The following is a 23,414-nucleotide window of genomic DNA, read 5'->3' as shown; positions in this document are numbered from 1 at the left end:
TCTGGGTAAGATATGTAAATTATGAATCAGCAAAAATGTGGGAAATGATAATCTCATCTGGATTAACTCAATTAACATTGAACACAACAAATATTGAGAATCAAACCCCTCTGGCACTCATATCAAGTGAGTGCAGTGCTACAACTCTAAAGTTTTGTGTTTATTGCTAAAGGTATTTTTATTCTGGAATAATTTTAAGCAACAGAATGTTGCAAGAACAGGACAAGAACTTTTTTTTCCTGAACCATTTGAGAGTAAGTTGCAGACATAATCATGTCCTAATCATGCCCATCAGCCTTGAATACTTTAGTATATATCTTCTACAAACAAGGACATTCTTTTTCATAACCACAATACAACCATCCAGATCAAAAGATTAACATAGATGACATTCCTGCTATCTAAGCTACAGATCACATCTGTGTTTCGCCACTTTTCAAGAATAACCTAATAGCAATCTAGGATCATACAGCATTCAGTTGTTGTGTCTCTTTAGTTCACAGTAGTCTGGGACAGAGAAGCCCTTCCGACTCTGTCCAAACCCTGTGACCCCTCAGCACCATCCTCTCTCCAATGCAAACACCTATTTTTCTCAGTCCTGCTTAATGGCTTTAGGAAGAAAGGAAAGAAGGAAGGAAAGGAGGGAGGGAATGTTAGTTCCAAACCTTTACAAATTTTGTCTGGAGGTGTCATTAGCTGATTGATCTATTTTAATAGCTTACTCTTAGAAAAGTTTCCATGTTGGCTGCCTCATTGTTTTAATGAAGAGCCTCATGTGCATCTTTTAGTGCAGATAAAAAGGTGTGCAGTGAATAGTCTCCACCTAGCAGGAGTCATAGCTGCCGCTTCCTACAGATGTCTCCTTTGCACCAGGCCTTTACACGCTCACACACCTCACACACATAACCATGAACGTCATACCGTCGTATTCGACTTTATCTCCATTTTTGCAGATGAAGAAATCAAGGCTGTGGGAGATCAAAGTCACTTCCCTGAAGTCACACAGTTCGTGGCAGAGCTGAGACTTAAACACAGGTCCAGATCATGCCAAATCCTGGAGTCTCTCTTTCTTGCCTTGCAGATTCCTGAGACCTCTGCTCACCTGCAAGAGCTAAGCCATAAGCCCTCTGCAGAGAGATGTCTCTTTTTTCTGTGGTGTCCTTGGCACCCAGCACAGTGCCTTATCTGTTAAGGGCTCCATAAACACATGTCAAGGGATTAGGAGGGAAATTTCATTTTCCCCCAAAGCATTATTATTTTTTCCTTGAATCGTATTTCAGTTCTCTAGGCAGATGAAGTATGATATCTATCTCAGCTTCTGCTTGAACTTCATTAAATTGTGGATTTGTTTAAACATTTCATGTGTCTTTGATCTCAACTAATGGTTCCCAAAAATCAAATGGTGAAGTGTGGGGAGCACAAGTATTAATAGTTAGTTAATGGTTAGTGCCGGCTGGGGCCATCCTCCATCCCCTCTATCCTGGGTGGTGGCAATGGCTTCCTGATGTGTTTTGCTGCTTCAGTTCTTGTTCTCAACACCTCTTCTCAGCCTACTAGCTGGTTTGTTTTAAAGTGTGAGGCAGCTCATACCACTCCCCTGCTTGAATGCTCTGATGGCAGCAAGACCCTGCGTGGTGGAGACCCTCGTTGTTTCTCTGTCTTCATTCATTCTCTCCTGGTATCCTGCTGGTTCAGTCGCTGCAGCCATGCTGGCCTCTGTGCTGTTCCTCCAGCACATTGGAGTCTCCTCTCCCCAGGCCTTTGCATTGCCTGACCCCTCCACCTGGAGTGCTTTCTCTCCAGCTCCTTCAAGTTACTGCTTAAATGTCCCCTTTCAATGAGATCTGTACTGAACCTTCCATTTAAAATTGCATCATCTCCCCACCCTCACACACTCCATCCTTCTTATCCTGATCAACTTTTTCTCTTTGGTTCTTCAATTGTCCATCATCTTCTAATATATCATATCCTCTAATTTAGGTAGGTATCATGTTCATTGTTTATGTGTTCCTGCCCCTCCTTGAATGTAAGCTCCACGGAGGCAAGGGTCTTTGTCTGCTTTGTGAAACAATGTTTCCTAAGTACCTGGTAGGGGTTCAATAAATATTCTCCAGTTAATGAAATACGCTCTTGCCTTACCTGGCCTTGTCTGGATAGTTCACAAATGAATCAGGAAAAAAAGAGGTAGATTATCTTCTATTCCAGGATCTTTCAGTTACTTATGAAGCATGAGGTTCCACATGTCATTTAGAACAGAATTTTTCAAGGATGCTGGCCCCGACATAAGATCTCAGGACCTTGTGATAATACACCCATTGCCATCGTCTCCTTATTAGAGCAACTAGCTAAGAGAAGGAATTGCCTCCCCAGGCGGGGGCAGATTTTGTATGGAACTCGTTACAATATAGTTCTCCAGACTAATGACTTACAGCCTTCTGGGAAGGTGGTGCAGCATGTGTAGCCAGTTTGGGGAAATGCTGGGCAGTGCTCTCCTGGCTGCCAGTTCTACCCAAAATAAACTCAAATAGTGCTGCATCCATGCCCCATTAACAGAAGGGGTGCAAGCTTCATGGGTTAGTCTTCAACCATTAGGACAGACAAGACAATCGTGTCAGCCCTATCTCTATCATTGTGTCTCAAAACAGCATTGTCCATGTAGAAGGAAGAGGAAAAATGGAACCTGTAATTTTTTAAGCCCGTGTGTCTGTTAACGGGGACTTCAGTTTAATAACACGTGTTCAAAGAGACGAAATGCATGAAACTGTAGGTGCCACTGGGCCTTCCATATGTGTTGTGTAATGGTAAGCAGAGAGTCAAGTGCTCAATAAGGAGCTCAACAAATACCTGTGGAAGGATTGAATTTTGAGGCATTTCAACATTGAAGGTATGACCCAAGCGTACCAAAACTTGCCGTGGCATATCTTGATATAAAAATAGCACAAAGTGATGCACCAGAGAGCTATTTTCAATACCACACATAGCCTCTTAATAAATAACATACGGTTCTCCCATATGGCATGTTAATACAAATACTTTGATACCGTTAGTTTTTAATCCAAGGATTTCCAAGTACTTTATAAACACTATTCATTAATGTGGGCTTCCCTGGGGAAGTTGCAGTGCCTTGCAGAGATACAAAGCATCCTGTACACAATCAATAACTATTAAGGAATGACAATAATAAGAAATATATTCATGTGGCTGTTTTTTAAAAGTAACTAACAAATGAGAATTAAGTAACTTTCCCAAAGTCTTCCAATGACTTCATGGTACAACTGAGGTTAGAAATCAACTTATACTGACACAGTTATTCTACTAGTTGTTCTGTGCTCGCAAATTGATGATAAATTATGCCAGTTCTCAGATATGCACATAACCTGGTGTCCACTCTATAACTGGGAAAATCATGGCCAAAATGAGGTTAGCATAATAGCATTACAATGGGATTTCCTTGTTCTCTCCCTTTCTCACTCTCTCTGATAAAACAGCAACTGCATTTTTTTCATTAAGCCCTAAGTTTAAATTTTCTTCTAAAAATTACATTTCTCTGTATTGTCCTTTACATTCCTGAATCTAGATAACCAGTGAGCCTACACATTTGTTTAAAACAGGCACACACTGTGCTCTGTGCAGATGTTAAATACAGAACTGGCAAGATGAAACATTTTTTTTCTTTGCTTTTTTTTTGCTGAAGAATGGAAAGTATATAAAGATGTTCTTTAAATAGAAGAATCATCCCATGAATAAATTCAAAAGCTGTTATATAGCTTTGTCATCAATTAATGTTTGTTGAGTACCTACAACGTTCAAGATGCTGGAGAGAGAATAAATTAGGCTATTCAGAAGACAAAAGCCTTTCCCTTTAGGAGTTGACAGAAGGGAGAGGAATGGAAAGGTTTCATGAGATGTGTCTGCCTGCACAAAGTGAAACTGAGGCTAGAGATGATCATCCAGAGAAAAATAAAAAAAAGTTGTTTCCTCTATGTAGATATGAATAAATGTTGGGTATTTTTGCTGGATGAAAGGAGTAACTGCTTCAGTTCTCCACTTGGCATTGTCCAAATGGCTCTTTGGGAAGTCAACGATTGAAGATGTAGATGTGTGAGTGCAAGTGTCTGTCTGGGGCAACTCACAAAGGGAAAGTCTCCTGCTTTCTGAATAGCCTAATTTATTTTCTCTCCAAGGTATAATTCAATACACATATATCTGAGGTTGTGGGCAGCCCCATATTATCATGGGAAGCAAAAACCAATTCTGTGTTTCTACCACTTTCTTCCTTTAAAATACTTGTTTCTTCCGTGTTGAGACATGCTATTTCAAGTAGTAGGAATAAAACTTTAAAGATGTTGATTTGGAATTTTGAAGTTCAGGATGAAAGCAATATATGGGTTTCCCATGATTTTGTATGAACTTTTTCCAAAAATGTGCTCTTGCCCTCAGTATGATCCCATAGATGATAAAACTCAACAACCACCCCAAAGCTGACTGACAAGTATAAAAACAAGAGGGTGGTCTATGTGTATTTAATCTCTCTTTAAAAATTACAGATTTCCAATAATGGCTTTGTTTAGCCAAATGTTTTGCTAATCGCTATTTGACATTGTACCAGAATAAATCTCAACATATTCTCTTTACTTCATATGAAATTAATTTGCAAGTAGAGAAACCACACACCTTTAGGCAGATAAACCAAATGTTTTGTTTGTGTGGAATTTTAGGCACAGGAAGCTCTTGTCTAAGATCTCCTGCTTTCCTTCTAAAGGAGTAACTTGGAAATTACTCTATCTGGAGTACTGGTCCTCAAACTTCACTGTGCATTAGAGGCCCTTGAAGGGCTTGTTAAAACACAAATAGCTGGGTTCTGGTTCAGCGGAGATGGGACAGGGCCTGAGCACTGCAATTCCAATCAATTCCTGGGTGATGCTGCTGCTATGAGTGTGGCCACACTCTTTGAGAATGATTGGTGATATGGTTTGGCTGTGCCTCCACCTAAATCTCAACTTGAATTGTATCTCCCAGAATTCCCATGTGTTGTGGGAGGGACCCAGGGAGGTAATTGAATCATGGGGGCCGGTCTTTCTTGTGCTATTCTCATGATAGTGAATAAGTCTCATGAGATCTGATGGGTTTATCAGGGGTTTCTGCTTTTGCTTCTTCCTCATTTTCTCTTGCCACCGCCATGGAAGAAGAGTCTTTCACTTCCCGCCATGAGTCTGAGGCCTCCCCAGCCATGTGAAACTGTAAGTCAAATTAAACCTTTTTTTGTTCCCAGTTTCGGGTATGTTTTTATCAGCAGCGTGAAAACAGACTAATACAATTGGTCTAGGCTCTAGAGTATTAACAGGTAAAAGTAGAAAGTATGCTGCGATTTATTTTTGTTAATTACATGTGGCTATGAACGCCCACTTTATTACTGCATTGTTCATTGTCCAAATTCTGAATCTCTGTAGCCATGAGTTGAATAATCCCTCATGGCTATACTAATATTTGTAGACAAAAATAGACTTTTCATAAAATCAATGTATAGAATTTACCTTTTCACTAAAATTTCACTAAAGATGATAATGTAATCACCTTATCTTAAAATGGATTCATCATTGAGCAAAACTTTGGGGAAGCTCCCTCTGTTCTGGACATTGCACCAGGTGCTGCAGACACAGGAATGAACAAGTTGGGGGCCCACCCCCTCCAGAAGCATGCTGGGGAGACAGATGAGTGAATACAAGACCCAGTTAGGTACAGCTAACATTGTGCTGGAGGAAGCAGGGAGGGCAGCAGGTGCTCTTAAGCACCTAATTCCAGTCCTGGAGGCAGTCAGTGAAATTTGCTCAGGGGAGGCACTGCCCCAGCGGAGACTTTTGTCACTGAGTATTTTTTGAGGTCTCAGTCTCTCCCAGACTCTGTCCTTTAAAGCTGTATTGCCCACTGTGATAGCCACTAGCCACACATGGCTATGGGCACTCCACGGACTACGAGGCAAGTCCACATTGAGATGTGCTATAAATGTTACATATATGTCAGATTTTGAATGTAGTGTGAAAAAATGTAAAATATCTAAGGAACGATTTTCATATTGGTTGTATGTTGAAATGATACTACTTTGATCTATTGGGTTAAGTAAAATATAGTGTTAAAATTAATATCACCTTTTTTATAAATGTGGCTTCTGAAAAATGTAAAACAACATATGCATTTGTAACTCATGCTATATTTCTGTTGAACAGTGCTGCTCTAGAGATAACTAGTGGGGAAAAGAGCTGTGGAGCTGAGTCCAGTGGGACAGATGGATATTGTAGCCACAGCTGTCAAAGCCCTGGCCATCGTCCCTGGCACTTACCTCTGATTTCTGCATGCACCAGAGGCTTCTTCTCTTGAATATGCGGCCTGAGGGCTTTTTCTGGTCTCAACAGGATGCTTGTCCTGCCAATACTGAGGTGCTGGGGAGTTAATATCCCAGAAGCAGCCCTCAACCAATGACGGACAGGAGGGGGCGAACAAATACCCCTACCCTGGCATCCATGCCCCTGGAGTGGGACTCCTCAGAGGCACATCCACACTATTTCCCGGAGTCCTCCCGCAGGACTAAGTCTCAGCTGCCCACAGGACAATCTACTTGTTCATGCACCTGTTTTTGTTTCCTCCCCTTCTCTATCTCACTTCACCGCTTCTCTACTGGCCCTTCCTGGGAATCACTCCCCAGATCAACTGCTGGCCCTTGAATCTTTGTCTTAGCATGTGCTTGGAGGGATCTGCTCTCAGAGATTTTTAAACCAAATAATTACGCAAATATAGTATCCTCAGTCATGATACGTGCTAACGAAGGGAAATGTAGGTTGTAGGTGGCTAAGATGGCTTCTAACAAACAAGAGTATTGGAGAGGGCTTCCCTGTAGAAGTGGCATTTGAGCTGATAAGCCTAAGGCACTTGTGAAGCAAAATTAATCAGTAGGAATGAATGGGGTAAAAGGAGAGAGAGGGATGATCGCTCCAGGTGGAGTGAAGAGCACGTCCAGGAACTCTTATGTGAGAAAGGCTTTGGCATCTTCAAAGACTTACGAGGGGCCTATGGGGCGGGAGTGCCGATGGCCGGTGCTTCACGATGGATCTAAGTGGGAAATATTCACGCAAATGAAGTAGGATGAGTTGAGGAAAGAGGGAATGTTTCACTGGGTGGGGAGCAAGCCCCAGAGGTGAGAGGAAGCATGTACATTTGGGGAGTCACAGTAATTTAGTACGGCTGGAGCAGACAACGAATGGAGTGGGGAAGGATTGAAGCCAGGTGAAGACCGTGGTCACATTAGAAAGGGCTTTGTGCCCTTTGCTGGGAGTGAGGCATGTCTACGGGGGCAGCTGGGAGCCATGGGTGGGTTCTCTCTCACCTGGCTGTTTTGTGGGGTAGGAATATGTAATAGCATGAAAGACCCACTTGAAATTGATTGAAATACTCCACAAGAGATAGCAGAAGCCTGAGATAAAGGGGCAGCAGGTGAGGAGGGAGAGAACAGGATGGACTGAAAAGAGATTCAAGAGATTGAACCAACTGGCTTTGGTGAGTGGTTGGACGGAGGTGCGAAGAATGAGGAATGGTGTCGACCTCTACTGCAAAAGCTCTGAATTATCCTGAAGAACATTCTTAACAACTTAATAATACAGATATAATGAATATTCTATTTTTTAGGTGGAGAAATGTTGTTCTAGTCTCTGCAATTCTCCAAAGCACCCATAGCTAGCAGGGAGCAGAATTACGATTTGAGCCTTCATCATTTGCCGGCTAAAGGCAAGCTGTCAGTCACCACGCTTTGATGCCACCCTGCATTCCACCCTAGCTGACAGCCTGGAAAAACTGCATGTTGTGGAGTCTGGGAACAAGGGGGACATTCTGGCTTACAGTGACCATGAGAAATGCAACAGAGGTCTTTTAATAAAAAATGAGGTCAAATAGATGAAGAGAAAAAAAATTAGCCCAGTAGAAATCCCTCTAGAATAACTTCTAGAAATTTTGTATAAGATTTTCTTAAGTAAAATGTGCATATAACAGTCAATTTTAATATAGTTATGCTACTTCCTGATACCCCCTGTTAGCTTATTTTTTCCTTTCGTGATCTTGTCTGCGTTGTACATTTTGACTGATGGTCTGAGACAGTTGCTTCCAATATCTGTTCTCCTTATGTCATAAATAAGAATATAGCCTATTGTGGGCCCTCGGGACCAGCCTAAGCAAAAGGAGAACTCTAACCCCCGTCATCTCCTTTCTGCATATATTTTGTGATTTCAGATCTATTGCCATTCCTTCTTCTCCTACATATATCCAATATCCTCATGGTTTCTTTCTAATCAAGCTGTGCTTTTAGAAGGCATCAGCTGTCATTTTCAATTTAGGGTAAATTACTTTTATTTAGTAATGAACCTGTCACTTCTCCCATGACTACTGATAACACTCTAATTATCTAGTCTTCCTACCTATAACCACAGTTCTATAATTACTGTATGGAGCAGGGAGTGCTAAGACCTCCTGATGTTGAATTTAAATTTACCCTCAATTTTTCATTAGATCTATTCCAAAAAGTCTTACTGGGGTCTTACTCCACTTTGAATAAATAAAATACTGTGTGATTTTTTTTTTCTGTAAGTCCACTTCCCAATGGTCTCTGTCTTTTCCCTGTAACAGGGCAATACCCGCTGACAGTGGATCGTCTTGAGATGATAATCACATTCCTTTTTTTTCCCTTCTTCTTTTTCAAATGGAGTCTCGTACTGTCATCCTGGCTGGAGTCCAGTGGCGCGATCTCAGCTCACTGCAACCTCCGTCTCCCAGGTTCATGCAATTCTCCTGCCTCGGCCTCCCGAGTAGCTGGGATTACAGGCACACACCACCACACCCGCTAATTTCTTGTATTTTTAGTAGAAACAGGGTTTCACTATGTTGGCCAGACTGATCTGGAACTCCTGACCTCATGATCTGCCCACCTCGGCCTCCCAAAGGGCTGGGATTACAGGCATGAGCCACCGTGCCTGGCCCACATTATTAATAGTCACCTGAAACAATTAGCCAACCAACTCAAGGACTAGGAAAAAAATTTTCTAGGGTAGCTGATGCTATTTTAGACAAATCAATGTAAGTATCAGAAGCCACATCAAAAGACAGATAGGAACATCTGTTTCCTCTCTCCTGGTGGCAGAGTAGGCCACAGACAATTATGCATTGCCAGTATGTACAATGGTACAGACATAAAACGACACATGAATCCCTCACTAAGGAGTATTCTAGCATGTTCTTTGTTCTTTCTGCCAAATCGGTCAATTTGCAGAAGTTTGCCCTTATCAAATGTTCTTTTTTTTGGATAAATGTAAAGGAATTCCAGCTGCCTTTTCTCCACAGAAATATGTTTGGTAAAAAATATATCAGGCAGCCTTGTGATCTATGAAAAGAGAGATCTCTGCAAGTGACTGCACTCATTGAAAATGAGAATCGGTCTGTCTAATGCCTCATCCCTCTCATTGGTTCCAGGGTCAGTCATTTAATATGCAGAGCACCTCATTGTTTCTGGGGTCAGTTATTTAACATGCAGAGCCCCTCATTGGTTCTAGGATCAGTCATTTAATATGCAGAGCCCCTTCCTCCCTAAACAGGTGGAGCCCCATGAGGAGGCAGTGGATGTAGCAGGCAGCAGTAGACAGAAACAGTCCGATGGTGGAGGGATGATAGAGCACACTACCCGTAAGGCAGACTGCAGGAGAACAATCTTACAGCAACAGCTTGAGAAAGGTTTTCAGGTCTTTCTATCTTCTCAGCAGTTTGCTTATAAGAATAAATTATTCTAGTTCTCCCATATCTCATTACTAATGTCAGATGATCTTGGACTTGATAAACCCAATTTCCCTGTTTTATGGAACCCAGAAGATTTTTGCTTCTAGAAGTGTCTAAATGATCTTAGTTTTTAACATTTAGGCTGTAATAGGTTTTCTTATGAAAACCCCCAAATAATGGTATTGTAACAAATGCTGTCTTGTGACATAAAACGCCAATTAAAACATGTCAAGTTAGAGCAAAAGTTTTCCCGATCACATGAAAATGTTAGGATAAATACTTAAATATACGCATATACTACTTGAACCATTCAAATAAATGGCAAGTAAATAATTTCTTCAACAACTGGCTAATAAATTTTAAATCAGAATAATTTACAAGAATAAATAATTTCAGGAAGAAACATTATGTATCCAAAATAAAATATGACCCTTCAAAGTCTGTCCTATTAACGCCAATTAAATTATGATTTTTTGGTCAGTTTTAATTACAACTAATAGTGAGTCCTATGAGGTAAACCTTAAGAGCGTTAAACAGACTTGAGACCACAGATTTTATGATTACAAAACGAGGTTTATACCTGATTCATTGACCCTTTAAACAATTTATTTATTCATAGAACTCCCCACTCTTGCAAGAGTTTTCAAGTCTCTGCACAGTTTTCATGTAGGACCTCGAGTCAGCAATTTTGCAGTACTACAGGTTTGGGCATGGGAGTAAAATAAGAAAGCAGCACTACTTATCTGGGGCTACAAAACATTAATATGATGAACAGCTTTTAGTTTCTTCCTTCAGCTTTTTTTTTTTTCCTTTTTTCCCTCTTTTAGTATGAATTCATTAATCACACATACATGTTAATACATTTTCTTTTGTCAACTCATGGGCTAAGTAATACATTTCTTACTAATGCCCTGGTAAAAATAAAACGTAGATTTTTTTGGTTTTGAGAATTCTCATCCAACAATTTTGATTTCACTTGCTGATAAAGACACACAGAAAAGGCTTTTGTTTTGGTTTGGTTTGTGGAGTGTTCAATGTCATTCACGAGGCATGCTGACGTTCTAGAAAACAGCAAAGACATAAAAGCCAAAGTATGAAACTGGATTATTTTCCACATTAAAAGCCAACTCTGACACAAATTCCCATTGCCATAGAAAGCCTGTGTGGTGCCAGCATTTAGCCAGCAGTAAGGAATACTTACTGGCAGTCCTCACATTTTTCACTCTGCTTGTTGGAGAAGGTTATTGTTATTCACGTGAGGCATAGAAACGCAATATGAATTTTCTGAGACCATAACCCTGCAGGTTCATAATTCTTCTCTGACAGTACCACATTAGTCATTTTAGTGACTTAATTTTTGAACCTGTTTCTGTCTCCCTGAAGGAATGAGAGAAATCCTATGTAAAATGTATCCAACCTGATAAAAGGACTCCCAGCTCTTTGTCTGAAGTAAGATAAATTGGATCTTTTAGGAAATTTGAGAGACACAGAAAGAAGACTCTTACCATGGCTGGGTGGTATGGAAAAGCATATCTAAAATATTTCCAAGGACACGACAAGCACCTCTCTATGATTATTTTAGCGCAGGGGTCTGCAAACTACATCCTGGAGGCTTGTCTCGGTACAGCCTGCCAGCTAAGAATGGTTTTTATATGTTCAAAGGGTTGTAATAAAAATGAAGAAAATATGTGGCAGAGGCCACATGTGGCCCACAAAGCCAAAAATATTTCCCATCTGGTCCTTTACAGAAGTGTACTGACCCCTGTTTTGGGGAGACCTGACGAAATAGCAGGAGATGACTCAGCCTAGGAAACCGCATACCTGAACTCATTGCGGAGTGATTACCCTTGTAGTGTAGGAATTGGCTTGATCCTCTGTTAAGATAACCTCCAACTGCCTCTTGTCCACCAAAGTCATTACTTTCTGCAAGACAGCAAAGTGCCCGTGTCTGACATGTTTTCACTGATTCCAAGACTTCAGATGGTATTGGAAAGGACTTTCGAACTTAAGTCAGTAAATGGAATTTAATATTTAAAGAGATCTCAAATAATCCAAAAGCAGAGACAGAGACATAGTCGGGATGCAGGAAGTCTTGGAACAAGAAACTAAAGAGAATGCTGTTTGGGATGATGGTGGTTTTAAAAATATGCCCACAAATTCATAGAGATTCCTCCCTTCAAGAGATGGGTTTTAAGTCTCCTCCTCTTGCGTGTATGCAGGGTTTAGGGACTCAGTTCTAATGAACAGAACACAGCCAAAGTGATGCTATGTCCTTTTTGAGATTAGGCTATAAAATGACTGCCACTTCAAGCCAGGACATGCTCTCCCTCTCCCCCGTGCCTTGCTCTCAGGGAAGCCAGCTGCCATCTCATGAGGACACGCATCCTCTATAGAGAGCCCCCATGGCAAGGGAGTGCTGTCTCTGGCCAAGAATCAGTGAGAAAAAGCCCAGAGCCAGGCTCCCCAAAAGTAGGGTGTGTGTGGGAAGGTGGGTGGTGGGGTAGGGGGTATATGAGGACTTCCAGCTAAGCAGGCTCCACAAATATGTTACACAGATATATCCCACCTTCTAATCAGCTGTGAGCGTGAAGAACCCAGCAGGAGTTGAACTAATTTTTAATATATTTTTGTCCTTTTCTTTTCTGCATCCTCTTTTTAATCTTCATACATTTTACCTCTTCATGATCCAGCTTAGTGTATCTAATACTCCCTCTTTTATGGAAACTGATTTTTACCTTCCAAGTCCATAACGGGGGATTTCCTTCCAAGAAACCCTAATATTGCCTACAAAGAATTAGCTCTGGCAAGTCAAACTCTTCACCATGGCACTCTCCCTTCTCCCTTTCTCTCTGCCTCCCCTCTGTACTTATTTTCCTTTGCTTCTACCCTAGCTATCCTCTTCCACCCATCCCCTATTTTCCCTGCCTTGTGCTCTTTGAGACACCACTGCCAGCAGGAAGCATCCCAACCTGCCTCCCTACACCCCCACACCCCTGTGCCTTTGGCTCAAAAAACCATGGGTGTGAAATGTGATTTCTTCTGACCTGATCAGGCCCTCTCATGTGTACAAAGGAAGAAATGGAAACTTGTGTGAGAAGAGTTTCATAAATAATCCTTCTTGACACTTGGCATCAAAATATGTAAAGGTGGGTTTGACCACTATTTATTTTCCATTTATTGAGAACTTCCTATGCTTTAGTGTGATACTGTGATATAAATAAGAAATATATATTTAGTCTTCATCCTAGTACCTGGCACAGAGCTTCTAAAACTCTTGTAATTTCCTGAGTGATAAGAGCATCTTTTGTTTCATAAGTCACTTGTAATCGTACCTGAGTTTAAGCCTAATAATAAGGTGGTTCTTGGTGGGCCCCTCGATAGCTTCAGGGTGGGGCTAATTGCCAGGGCACCCAACCTTGCGACTACAGAGCTAGAGCTTTTGGCCCCATTTCCTGACCTATGGAGAGGAGAGAAGTGCTGGGGATTGAGTCAGTCATCACTGGCCAATGATTTCATCAATCATGCCAATGTCACGGAACCTCCATAGAAAACCTAAACAACAGGAGTAGGAGAACTGCCATGTTGATGAATGCACTGACATGCTAGGACGGTGGCACACCCCAACTCCATAGGGACAGAAGCTCCCGCGCTTGGGACCCTTCCAGATCTCACCCTATGCACTGCTTCATCTGGCTGTTCATTTACAACCTTTCCAACATCCTTTGTAATTAACTGGTAGCAGTAAGTAAATTGTTTTCCCTGAGCTCTGTGACCCATTCCAGCAAATTATCAAACCCAAGAAAGAGTCATGGGAACCCCTCAACTTTATGACTTTGTAGCTTGTCTGTCAGAAGTACAGGTTGCCTGGACTTGCCATGGGTATCTTGAAGTGGGGGGAGTCTTGTGGGACTGAGTCCTTAATCTGTGCCACCTGATGCTCACTCTAGATAGTGTAAGGCTTGACTTAAATTGTAGAACAACTAATTGGTGTCTGGAGAACTAGAGAATTGCTTAGTGTGAGGGAAAAAACACATATTTGATGTTAGAAGTATTATGAGTAGAAACAGATCATAGTAGTGGTAGTCCTTACGCATTATGGTAAATGCTTTCCACGTGTTATCTCATGTAATCCTCACCCCAAATACTGAAAGGTGTATGCTACACTTGCCTCACTTTTTATATAAGGCAATTGAGGCTTCCCATTAAATAAAGTACACAAATTCCCACTGATCATGCGAGGTTTAAACCTGGCCCAACTGCCTTAGGTTCATGTCCAGGTTCTGACGTCCATCTCCTTTCAGCATTCGGAAAACAACTTAACAAATTCATTGCTGTTCAGCACTGGCCTGAAATGACCTTCACCTCCCAAAGATCTTTGTTAATAAGGACAACAGAAATTGCTCTGCGATAGATAGAGCTGTTTTCCAATAAACACAGGTCTGATATTCTGGGACCGATTCTCTGTCCAGGAAAAGGAAGATTTCAAAACCTAAATTACATACAGGGCAGCCATTCTAGAAAAAGAAAGGGGTTAATAGTCTTCCTGTAACTGTAACTACCATATTCTGCTTTGGAGAACAATGTTTTATTACCATGTCCACTACTCTGGTAGTCCCTAAAGAACTCTTTAAACAATGAGATTTATCTCAATTTCACTGCCCCCTCCATGCACACACAGGAAAACAAACAGTATATTTCACTTAGGAGAAATGATTTGCAGTCATGGTAAATTCCCATCGTTCATTTGCTTATTCGTTTATTCATTCACTTGGCCACCCACAAATATTTACTGAGTGCCTAGTATTTAAAAAATGCTGTGTCCCTAAAATACTATAAGCACTTTCACTTTGAGAGGTAAATAAATATGAGACTTTACGACTGCATTTGTGCTCAGTATATTTTTTTATAACACACTGTCTGCTTTGACCAGAGTTGAAATTTTATAGTAGAAATATATTACCCTAGAGATGAAAAAATGGCCAACAGCCAGTAATAATGGACAGTTTTTCAACATAAAGAGCAAAGCATTCTATAAACTAAAAAAGAAAGACACAAACAAACAAGCACATTCCAAACTTATGTATGTTACAATTTTCAGGAAACTGGTTTTTTAAATTTCTTTTCTTGGCTGAGACTTCACTGTTAGCTCATAAGGGCTTATGATTCTTTGGGCTGGCACCTCTTGAAAAAATAATTGCAGACTTACTGAAGGGATAGCAACAGAGAGATGGCCAAGAATATTTCCACACAGATGAAAGTAAAAGTTATAAAAAAAGAATTTAGGGAAAAAATACACACAACAAGAAAAAAGTAATTTGACAATACTTTTTCTGGGAAACTAGCAAAACTCTCTCCAGCCTTAAACATAATTTTGTTGGACAGAGCCAGTTTGAATTCTACAACCAGGTTATTTAAAAAGGCATTTGTTTTCTGGATTTTTTTTTTCTATGAAGAGAAGAGGGACAATGGATATCTATTCTCCAGAAGAAATAATAATAATAATAGTGATAATAGCTACCATTTTTGAATGCCTAATATATTTTTAAATGTCAAACATTATGAATGGTTTTTTTAATAATACATTTGACTTCTAATTTTTGCCAAGTAAGCAGAGTAAGAATTTATTCCCATTTTACAGATGAGAAAACTGAAGCTTAGAACCAGTCAGTGGTAGAGCTGGGATTCAAACCCAGATCTGGCTGGCCTTGTAGCCTCTGTCCTTTTTATTATGACACACTGCATGGTGCCTTTCCAACTGACTTTAGAAAACTTTCCTAACTTACTCTATGAGAATACTCATTGTCATATAATTAAATTTTATGCAGAATTACATTTTAATTAAAATTTAATTAAGTTTCTGGGCATACCATTCAATGTCAAATCATCACTACCTTTTGTTTTATAACCTTATTTGGTTTTTATTCTCGGTTCCAACAAACATCCTCTTTGCAATCCAATAACCTCCACTGAAGGCACCTTTTGGTAAATGAGAAATGTGATGTTTTCATCATGTTTCACCGATAACCAACTTTTGTGGTCAATGAAGCTAGACTGTTTCAAACCTGTCCTTACCAAGATTCATATTTGGAAATACAACACACTGTATAGTGAGTAAGTTGAAAAGAAAAACCTCAGGGTTCAGCCTCCTAAGAACTATGTCTGAATCTCAAAATCAGGTTTTAAACCTATAAACTGGCTCTTCACATTACTTCAGGTATCTATTTTTTAAAATGCATCCTGAGGACACCATGGCTTACAAAACAACACTGCAAGGCACTAGTTATTGAAGCCTATTGCTGGTAAAGTGATTGGAAAGTGAAGCAGATGATGAGACCCAACGTTTCCTAATTTAATGGGCAGTAGATAAGGAAATTGGACAGCAATTGAACACCCAAAGGGAAATAATTCCCTGTGGCTGCCAATATATAAACATCAGGCTTCTAAAGACAAGGTTACCAGACAATCCAGAGAATTTCTAAATGTAAACAGAAGTTCAAATTTCAACTTTGCTTGGGGCTGCCATTTAAAATGAAGCCAGTCATAATCCGTACTATTGGCATTCCTTTGACCCACTGTCAAAACAGCTTGGAAACACAGAACAATGTTTTAAAAAGCAAACATGCAATTATTTTTGTTGTTGTTTTGTTTTTTGTTTTTTGAGTCGGAGTTTTGTTCTTGTTGCCCGGGCTGGAGTGCAATGGCACGATCTCGGCTCACTGCAACCTCTGCCTCCGGGGTTCAAGCGATTCTCCTGCCTCAGCCTCCTGAGTAGCCAGGATTACACGCACATGCCAACACGCCCAACATGCAAATTTTAAAAGTTGAATTCCACATTGCTTTCCAGAGGCTAACAGTACTATTTACTTCCTGTACGCCCTATTCTTAGTCACAGGATCCTTTTCCACATGTCTGTTTCCTATGGATAATCCCAGCAACAACATACAGAGGTGGCACTCTCTCTTTTGTTTAGCTTTTATTTCCTCCCCTGGTGTTTTCTCACTTCTCCCACCACACTGATTTTCAGTCCATACCCTTGCACTATTCACCTTCACCTACCAGTGCTTCTTGCCTATCCTTCACATTTATCCTGGCTGGGTCCACCTTATATATAGCTTCTCTCCACACCTCCAGTCTTCGAGGTGGGGCTTTTAAGTAGTGTTAACGCTTTCCTGAAAATCCCCTTTGATCTTTTATAATAAAGTGAGAGTGGAAAGGGAAAAATTGATAACGAATTTACAGCAACATTGTTAGCCATGACATTATGTCCTCCTAACTCTTATTGTCTGTCTTTAAAGAACAAGACACAAGAATTCAATGATCAAATAATATTTACTGACGACGAACTAGAATAGAAGGCATACCGTCTATTTTCCCTGTTGATACTTCCCCTGTTTTCCTCTGGGGAACCACTCAGCTCCTACTTGGTCCATAGTTTTAATTATAGTTAACCATGTTGCTCCACCCCTGCACCTCCCGGTCCCAGAGTTGCCATGTGTCCTAGACCTAGTCAGGGCAGTACATGTCCATGGCCACAGTGATTGGTTCAAGGGCAGATGCTAGATCAGAGTCTAGCCAATCGGAGACAATGAAACAATTTCAGATCTTTCATGGGAGCTATTGAGAAAGAAGTATGCCACTTATACCAGGGTTGATGAGAGAGCAGTTAGTGGTCATCTTTGTCCCAGAGAGGTGAGAATATGAAATAGAGCCAATACAGAGGGAGGCAGAGCACAGAGATGGGTAGAGGAACCTAGTTCTGATGCAACTGGTAAATTAGCTAATTAAGTATCAAATAGACTTTTCAGATACAAGTTTGCTTAAAACAGTTTTGAGTGGCTTTTCTATCCTTGAATCTGAGAGAATCTTGGCCTCTACAAACCATGTGGTAGGTTGCTTGTGGTTCTCACTTATTTTCACATTGGCGACACCTTGGGAGTTTTTTAAATTACAGATTTAAAAACATTCGTGGACCGACGTGTTCAATTTCATATACAGTGTGCATCATTTCAGGGCTTCAGCCATTCTGCGTTCTGTTGTGACCATCGTCAGAAAGTGCCTACTACATGTGCTGTTGCATATGAAGATACTTTATAAAGAGAGCTTCATAGACAACTCCAGAATTGTGTTTAATCTATTTCCAAATTCTTTTACATCCTCCACTTTTGAATCTAGTGGTCCTACGTCCTCATCTACCATCAAAACTCTCTTTTAGAGAAAAAGAATGGTGATAGTTACACACACACACACACACACACACACACACACACACATGTCCTCTGACTTGGCCACATCACAATCCCCAATTTCCCATTACTTCTCTGATGACACACATTCAAAATGCAAATTTTCATACACAAAGGAAGAATAACTCTTGAAATAACGCTTGGTGCCACTGAGGACTTGAAGCTCACACTTGATTTAGTGGAGCTGCATAGACAGCAGTGTGACTGTCTTCTCAGCAAAAGCAACAGAATTTGGAGTCAGCAAATTTTGAGAGAAAGTGACTTTAAACAGGAAACAGAAAAGTGAGTTGATGATGGCGTAACAGAACCAGGGGTTTTGAGAAAGAACATCAAAATCATAAGATTAATTCTTCATTTGATAGAGATCAGAGACTTGCTTGACTCAATCTGCATAGACAGGAATCCAGAGTTCTTATTTCCTTGACTGTACCTACTCTTGATCTTCTCACTCAGAAATCCTGAGCCCCATTATTATACAAAGTAGGTATTAAGACCTCCTTACTGACATCTTCCTATCTCTGCTTGTTTTCCATTAGTAATTTCCAGTATTTTCTTCTGAACCCCAAAGGACTTCCACAAGGTCTCAAAAATTGTATTACGGCCGGGCGCGGTGGCTCACGCCTATAATCCCAGCACTTTGGGAGGCTGAGGCGGGCGGATCACGAGGTCAGGAGATCGAGACCATCCCGGCTAAAACGGTGAAACCCCGTCTCTACTAAAAATACAAAAAATTAGCCGGGCGCAGTGGCGGGCGCCTGTAGTCCCAGCTACTTGGGAGGCTGAGGCAGGAGAATGGTGTGAACCCGGGAGGCGGAGCTTGCAGTGAGCCGAGATCCCGCCACTGCACTCCAGCCTGGGCGACAGAGAGAGACTCCGTCTCAAAAAAAAAAAAAAAAAAAAAAAAAAATTGTATTATGTACTTATGTGTATGATACTGAAGCAGATCAGATTGTTTTTCCAAAAATGACTGTACCTATACATATCTCATTCCACTTTTTAAAAATATACAATGTGACATTGACATTCTCCTTCAAAAGGCAGGGTCTAAGTTCTCTCCCCTTAATCCTGGGGACTTGTTAACCTCAACCAATAGAATGTGGTAAAAATAACACTGAATAACAAGCTCTTTCTCTTGACATAATCACTATGGGAGCTCTGGGTCAATGTGTAACAAGTAAGACTGCCCTAAGCCCCCCATGCTGGTAGATTACATGGAGAGACTTCATCAAGCTAGAGAGATGCCCAAAGAGCTCCAGTTCTTCCAGCTTTCAGTTGTTTGAGTCTTCTAAGCTTAGGGCTCAGACAAGTGAGTAAGAGAAGCCCTGGATATTTCAGCCTCCCAATTTCTGAGCCACCCCAGCCAATGCTGAGTAGAGCAGAGACAACTATCCCTGTCGAGCCCTGCCAAGCTTGCAGATGTGTGAGCAAAATAAATGTCATTATTTTAAGCCAACAAGTTTTATACATCCCTAGTACCTGGAACAAGCCATTGTCTGCTCTTGCCAGCTAAGATCACTAACTTGTGGGAAGAAAGTATTCAAGAGCCTGTCAGGGTGACTTGGGTGTTTGGAAAGCTAAGCAAGAGAAATGTCAAGCATGCAAGGGTATAAGATGCTTGGCTTAGTATCCAAACAAAAATCCCATGCAATGCCAGTGAAAATGCAACAGGAAGGGAAGAAATAAGAGAGATAAAGAAAACCAAACCACCACCGCAAAGGTGCATTTTAATGGGCAGACACTGTTGCTGAGTAAGAAATAAAAGAAAGGTAAGAGTCCAGAAAGGAAAAAGAGAAGCATAAAGAAAGACTGTAGTTGAAATGAGACTGCCTGACTTGGAGACTACATCACAGAAGGTGATATGGATTCCAACTAGAAGAGACTAGTCATGGTCCCAGCAGGAAGCAGGACACATTCAAAGGGGTGTAAAAAGTTTAATATGGGATATTTTAAAAGATGTGGGCAGAGTCAAGGGAATCAATCAAGGAAAGTAAAGATGTCTAAGACTAGCAGTGGATGGGAGCTGTTACCACCCATAGGCCTGAGAAGAGAAAGGGAGTGGTCACCTGAAACCAAGCAATAGCTGGAGGTGGAGAAGGCCACCCGCAAGTGCTGTGTCCTTGGGTGAAGTCATTTCTGTCTGGCAGCAAGGGTCAAAGAGAATAAATGTCTTTTTGTCCTTAGTACTTTTCCCCCCATTCTCCAATCTCCCTTAAATGACTTCCACTGGTCTAGCGCATGCCTTCTCAATGGGAAGCAAACATTTGTTCTTGGCAGGGCAAAAAGGAAAAAAACAAAAAACACAGCAAAAAACTCTTAGCTATTATAATGGTCTGTACCCTCCAAAAGATACAGTTCATAAATAGATATGCAATATATTTATGGTATTAAAATTTCATGGTCAGGTGGAGACAATTAGAAAAAGAATGTCTAAAAAAGCCTCCTTAGGGAGTGTAGTCATGAAAATAAAATTGAGAAATATTAGTTAACCAACCCAAAGCTTGAGGGTGAGGGAGTCCAGTCAATGCAGCCCCTTAGGTCTCAGGCAAAAAGCAGTCTAGAGAATGTTCTAGAGAGACAAACAGAGGCAACTGAGCACACAGCCCTTTTTAAAATTCTTCCTGACCTCTACTCTTTAGATCTCTGTATCTATGCACAGGAACAGATGGCAGTTATGATGGCTAATTCAGGGAAATCATCCATCTAGCGGAACCACCAATGAGAAGAATTAGCAAAATGACTGTCCACACTCACGGCACACCGTGTCATCAGCGTAGAAATGTGACCTTTGTCTCATGTGTATTTTAACACTTACAATAAAAAGAGAACAAAAAAAGGTGCATAAACAATTCAAGGGCATGCCTACATATGTAATATTAACCCTTTGCTAATTAGTTGATTTGGTGTTATATAATGGACAAGCAAAATTTGACAACAGGATTGAGTTAACACTTTTAGAAACCCTAAACACCAAACAGATTTCCATGCTCTCCCCATCCTCATTGGGCTGTACTCTGCCAAACTTAACCAAAGTTGGACAATTTGATCTCTTGGCCACAGCTATAATGGAAGGTCTATAAGAAAACCATTCTGGCAATTGGATGAATTCATCAGGAAGATGTGATTGACTGATCTTGTGAGCTGGTTCCCCACATTGAACCATCAAGATAATCTGATCGTTCTGTTTTAAATAACATATCTCAAATTGTGATCCACACACTTAATACTCAGATCTAGTTTCCAAATACGCTTCTCTACTAAAAGAAACCAAACCTCCTTGAAGAATTGGTGGGTACCAAGGCTAAGGCGTTATTACAACCCATTGAATAGAATGGGAAATGATGAGTCCACGAGGATATAAATAAGTACACAAATGAATAAATTGAAAGTTTAATGAGGAATGGGCCATTTACCTAGTTTCATTGTGCCTTCCCACAAGGGGTACTCATCAATTACAAACAGAGGAAAAAGCAGCTGTGTAGTTGAGGAGCCTCTGAGACACCACCTTAATCAAGTAATCAAAGCGAGTGAATATTGTCAATAATGGGACAAATTGAGATAATGGGCCCTTCATAGCCTGCCATGAGAAGAACACAGTATCACTTCTGTGATAGTTCTTCAAAGATGCATCACTTGAATCCAGCCATGAGAAAACATCAGACCAATCCAAATTGGAAACATTCGAGTAGATAACTGACCTGCAATCTTCAAAAGTGTCAAGGGCAGTAAAGTCAAATTAAGATTGGGAAACTGTTCCAGACTGGAGGAGAATAAAGAGATGTGGCAGCAAAATGAGAAATTTGAGTTTGAAAGCGTTTTTTTTTTTTGTTACAAGGAGCATCATTGGAAAACTGGTGAAACTTAAATGAGATCTGAAAATTAGATAGTAGTGATATATCCATATTCATGTTCTAATTTTGATCTTTTTATTGTGCTCATGCAGGATGAATGCCCAATTTGTAGAAAATGCTCAGTTAAATGTTTGGGGATAGAAACAGTAGATTGGCAACTTATTCCCAAATGGTTCAGGAAAAAAAGGTTATTTTTACTGTACTTGCAAATTTGCTGTAAGTTTGAGATTGTTTAAAATAAGAAACAAAGGCAAAAGAAATGGTGCTCCAAAGATGCATTGCATCTAGTTAGCATGCAGCTTTCTGATTTGGTGAAGGGTTGGGCTAGGTGCAGGAATCTGCGTTTTTGGATACACCATAAGTGGCTGAATGAGAGGTTCTCCCAAGGGTGGCAGTTTGCAACTGTTCACTAAGCACTCAGCAAAAACATTCCACTTTCGCTCCACATTCTACAGCCAGTCTCCCCTTCCCTCTGCCCCTTTCCTCTCAAACCCCATATCTACTTTCCTTCTGCCAGCAGCAAAGATTGTTAGAAGCCAGTGGGGAATTCTCAGGATGGAGAATTGAGAAATGATTCAAGTGGTTCTGCTAGCATTTTCTGTCTACGGAGAATACAGTACCCTGGGTTTCTGCATGTCATTCCTCAGGCATGGTGATCCCTGGAGATGAAATCATTTCCTAAGACTGTCTCTGATGGCTCCAGAGTGACAAGAGGTAGGAGAGAACAGGCACACTTGAGCAAGGCATTAGGAGAGTGTGGCGTGAATCCAGGAAATTCTAGTGTAGGTGGACAGTTTTAAGGCTCTCTCTGGTATAGCAGGAAAGCACAACTTTGTTACATTAGAAAACTGAAATTTTGAAATACAACTACAAAATCGTAACATGAAAATTCAACACTGTTCAAATAGCAATACCTCTCCTTAACGACAAAATAAACCCTTTCTCTGTTGAAAAATTAGTACCTAATATTATAAGTCCTCAAATGTCCTATTGGCATGGTGTCAACATTGAAAACAATCACTCTAATGCTTTAGTTCTATAAACCCGGGGACTGAGTTTTCAACAAAACAAAGGCAAACACATCTGACTGATGCATTCTTCATCCTTGGTTTAGGAAATCAAAATAGACAAATTGTTAAACACATAGTCTAAATTACTCACAGACATCTATAACATTTAAAGAAAGGTACCTTTAAAGTTACTATAAAAAGATCCACTGTCTATGCCCTGATAAACTGATCTTTTCCTTTAGTTTTTTAATAGTGAACTTAGTATCACCTTTCATGAGTCCTCTAGACAATTTCAGAGGAGTTTTAAAAGAAAGTTTCCTCATCTGTGAAACGAGAGTGTTGCCCTAGATGTTCTCAGAGGCCCACTTGGCCATTAAAAGCCATGATTCTGTGCTTTGAATTAAGGATGGAAATATTTACTGAGCATGAAGAAAAGAGCTCATAAAGAATCAATTTTCATGAATATGATGGTTTGTAGAATTACAGAATTTGATATCTAAATGGAC

The 23,414-nt window shown here is 40.5% G+C and overlaps 1 protein-coding gene and 1 long non-coding RNA gene across 10 annotated transcripts in view, besides 1 other annotated feature; one reads left to right on the top strand and one right to left on the bottom strand.

The window, feature by feature from the left end:
• Positions 1-23,414, bottom strand: part of MACROD2 (mono-ADP ribosylhydrolase 2) — a 2,057,682-nt gene that overhangs the window by 124,726 nt on the left and 1,909,542 nt on the right. For 3 of the 8 annotated variants that reach the window (XM_024451834.2, XM_017027675.2, XM_017027676.2), the window contains exon 3: positions 11,629-11,730. The exons of the other annotated variants lie outside the window; for them this stretch is intronic. In XM_024451834.2, coding sequence (XP_024307602.1) covers positions 11,629-11,730 — 102 coding nt within the window. The remainder of the gene's footprint in view (positions 1-11,628; positions 11,731-23,414) is intronic. 8 annotated transcript variants of the gene reach the window in all.
• The window catches only part of LOC613266 (uncharacterized), a 93,550-nt gene that overhangs the window by 57,411 nt on the left and 12,725 nt on the right, over positions 1-23,414 (top strand). Inside the window, exon 1 of one of the 2 annotated variants that reach the window (NR_130925.1) lies at positions 5,158-5,240. The exons of the other annotated variant lie outside the window; for it this stretch is intronic. This is a non-coding gene — a long non-coding RNA (uncharacterized LOC613266). Of the gene's footprint in view, positions 1-5,157; positions 5,241-23,414 lie in introns of those variants that run through there. 2 annotated transcript variants of the gene reach the window in all.
• Positions 5,053-5,212: an enhancer, noted in NCBI's record as "active region_17557". NCBI's record gives its function as "activates an Ori minimal core promoter by ATAC-STARR-seq in GM12878 lymphoblastoid cells {active_cell/tissue: GM12878}" and the evidence as "EXISTENCE:reporter gene assay evidence [ECO:0000049][PMID:35858748]".

Source organism: Homo sapiens, chromosome 20 (genome assembly GCF_000001405.40).
Source record: "Homo sapiens chromosome 20, GRCh38.p14 Primary Assembly".
Classification (NCBI taxonomy): Eukaryota; Metazoa; Chordata; class Mammalia; order Primates; family Hominidae; genus Homo; species Homo sapiens.
The sequence above is the reverse complement of the archived record's forward strand: the minus strand, read 5'-3'. Positions and strand labels throughout refer to the sequence as shown.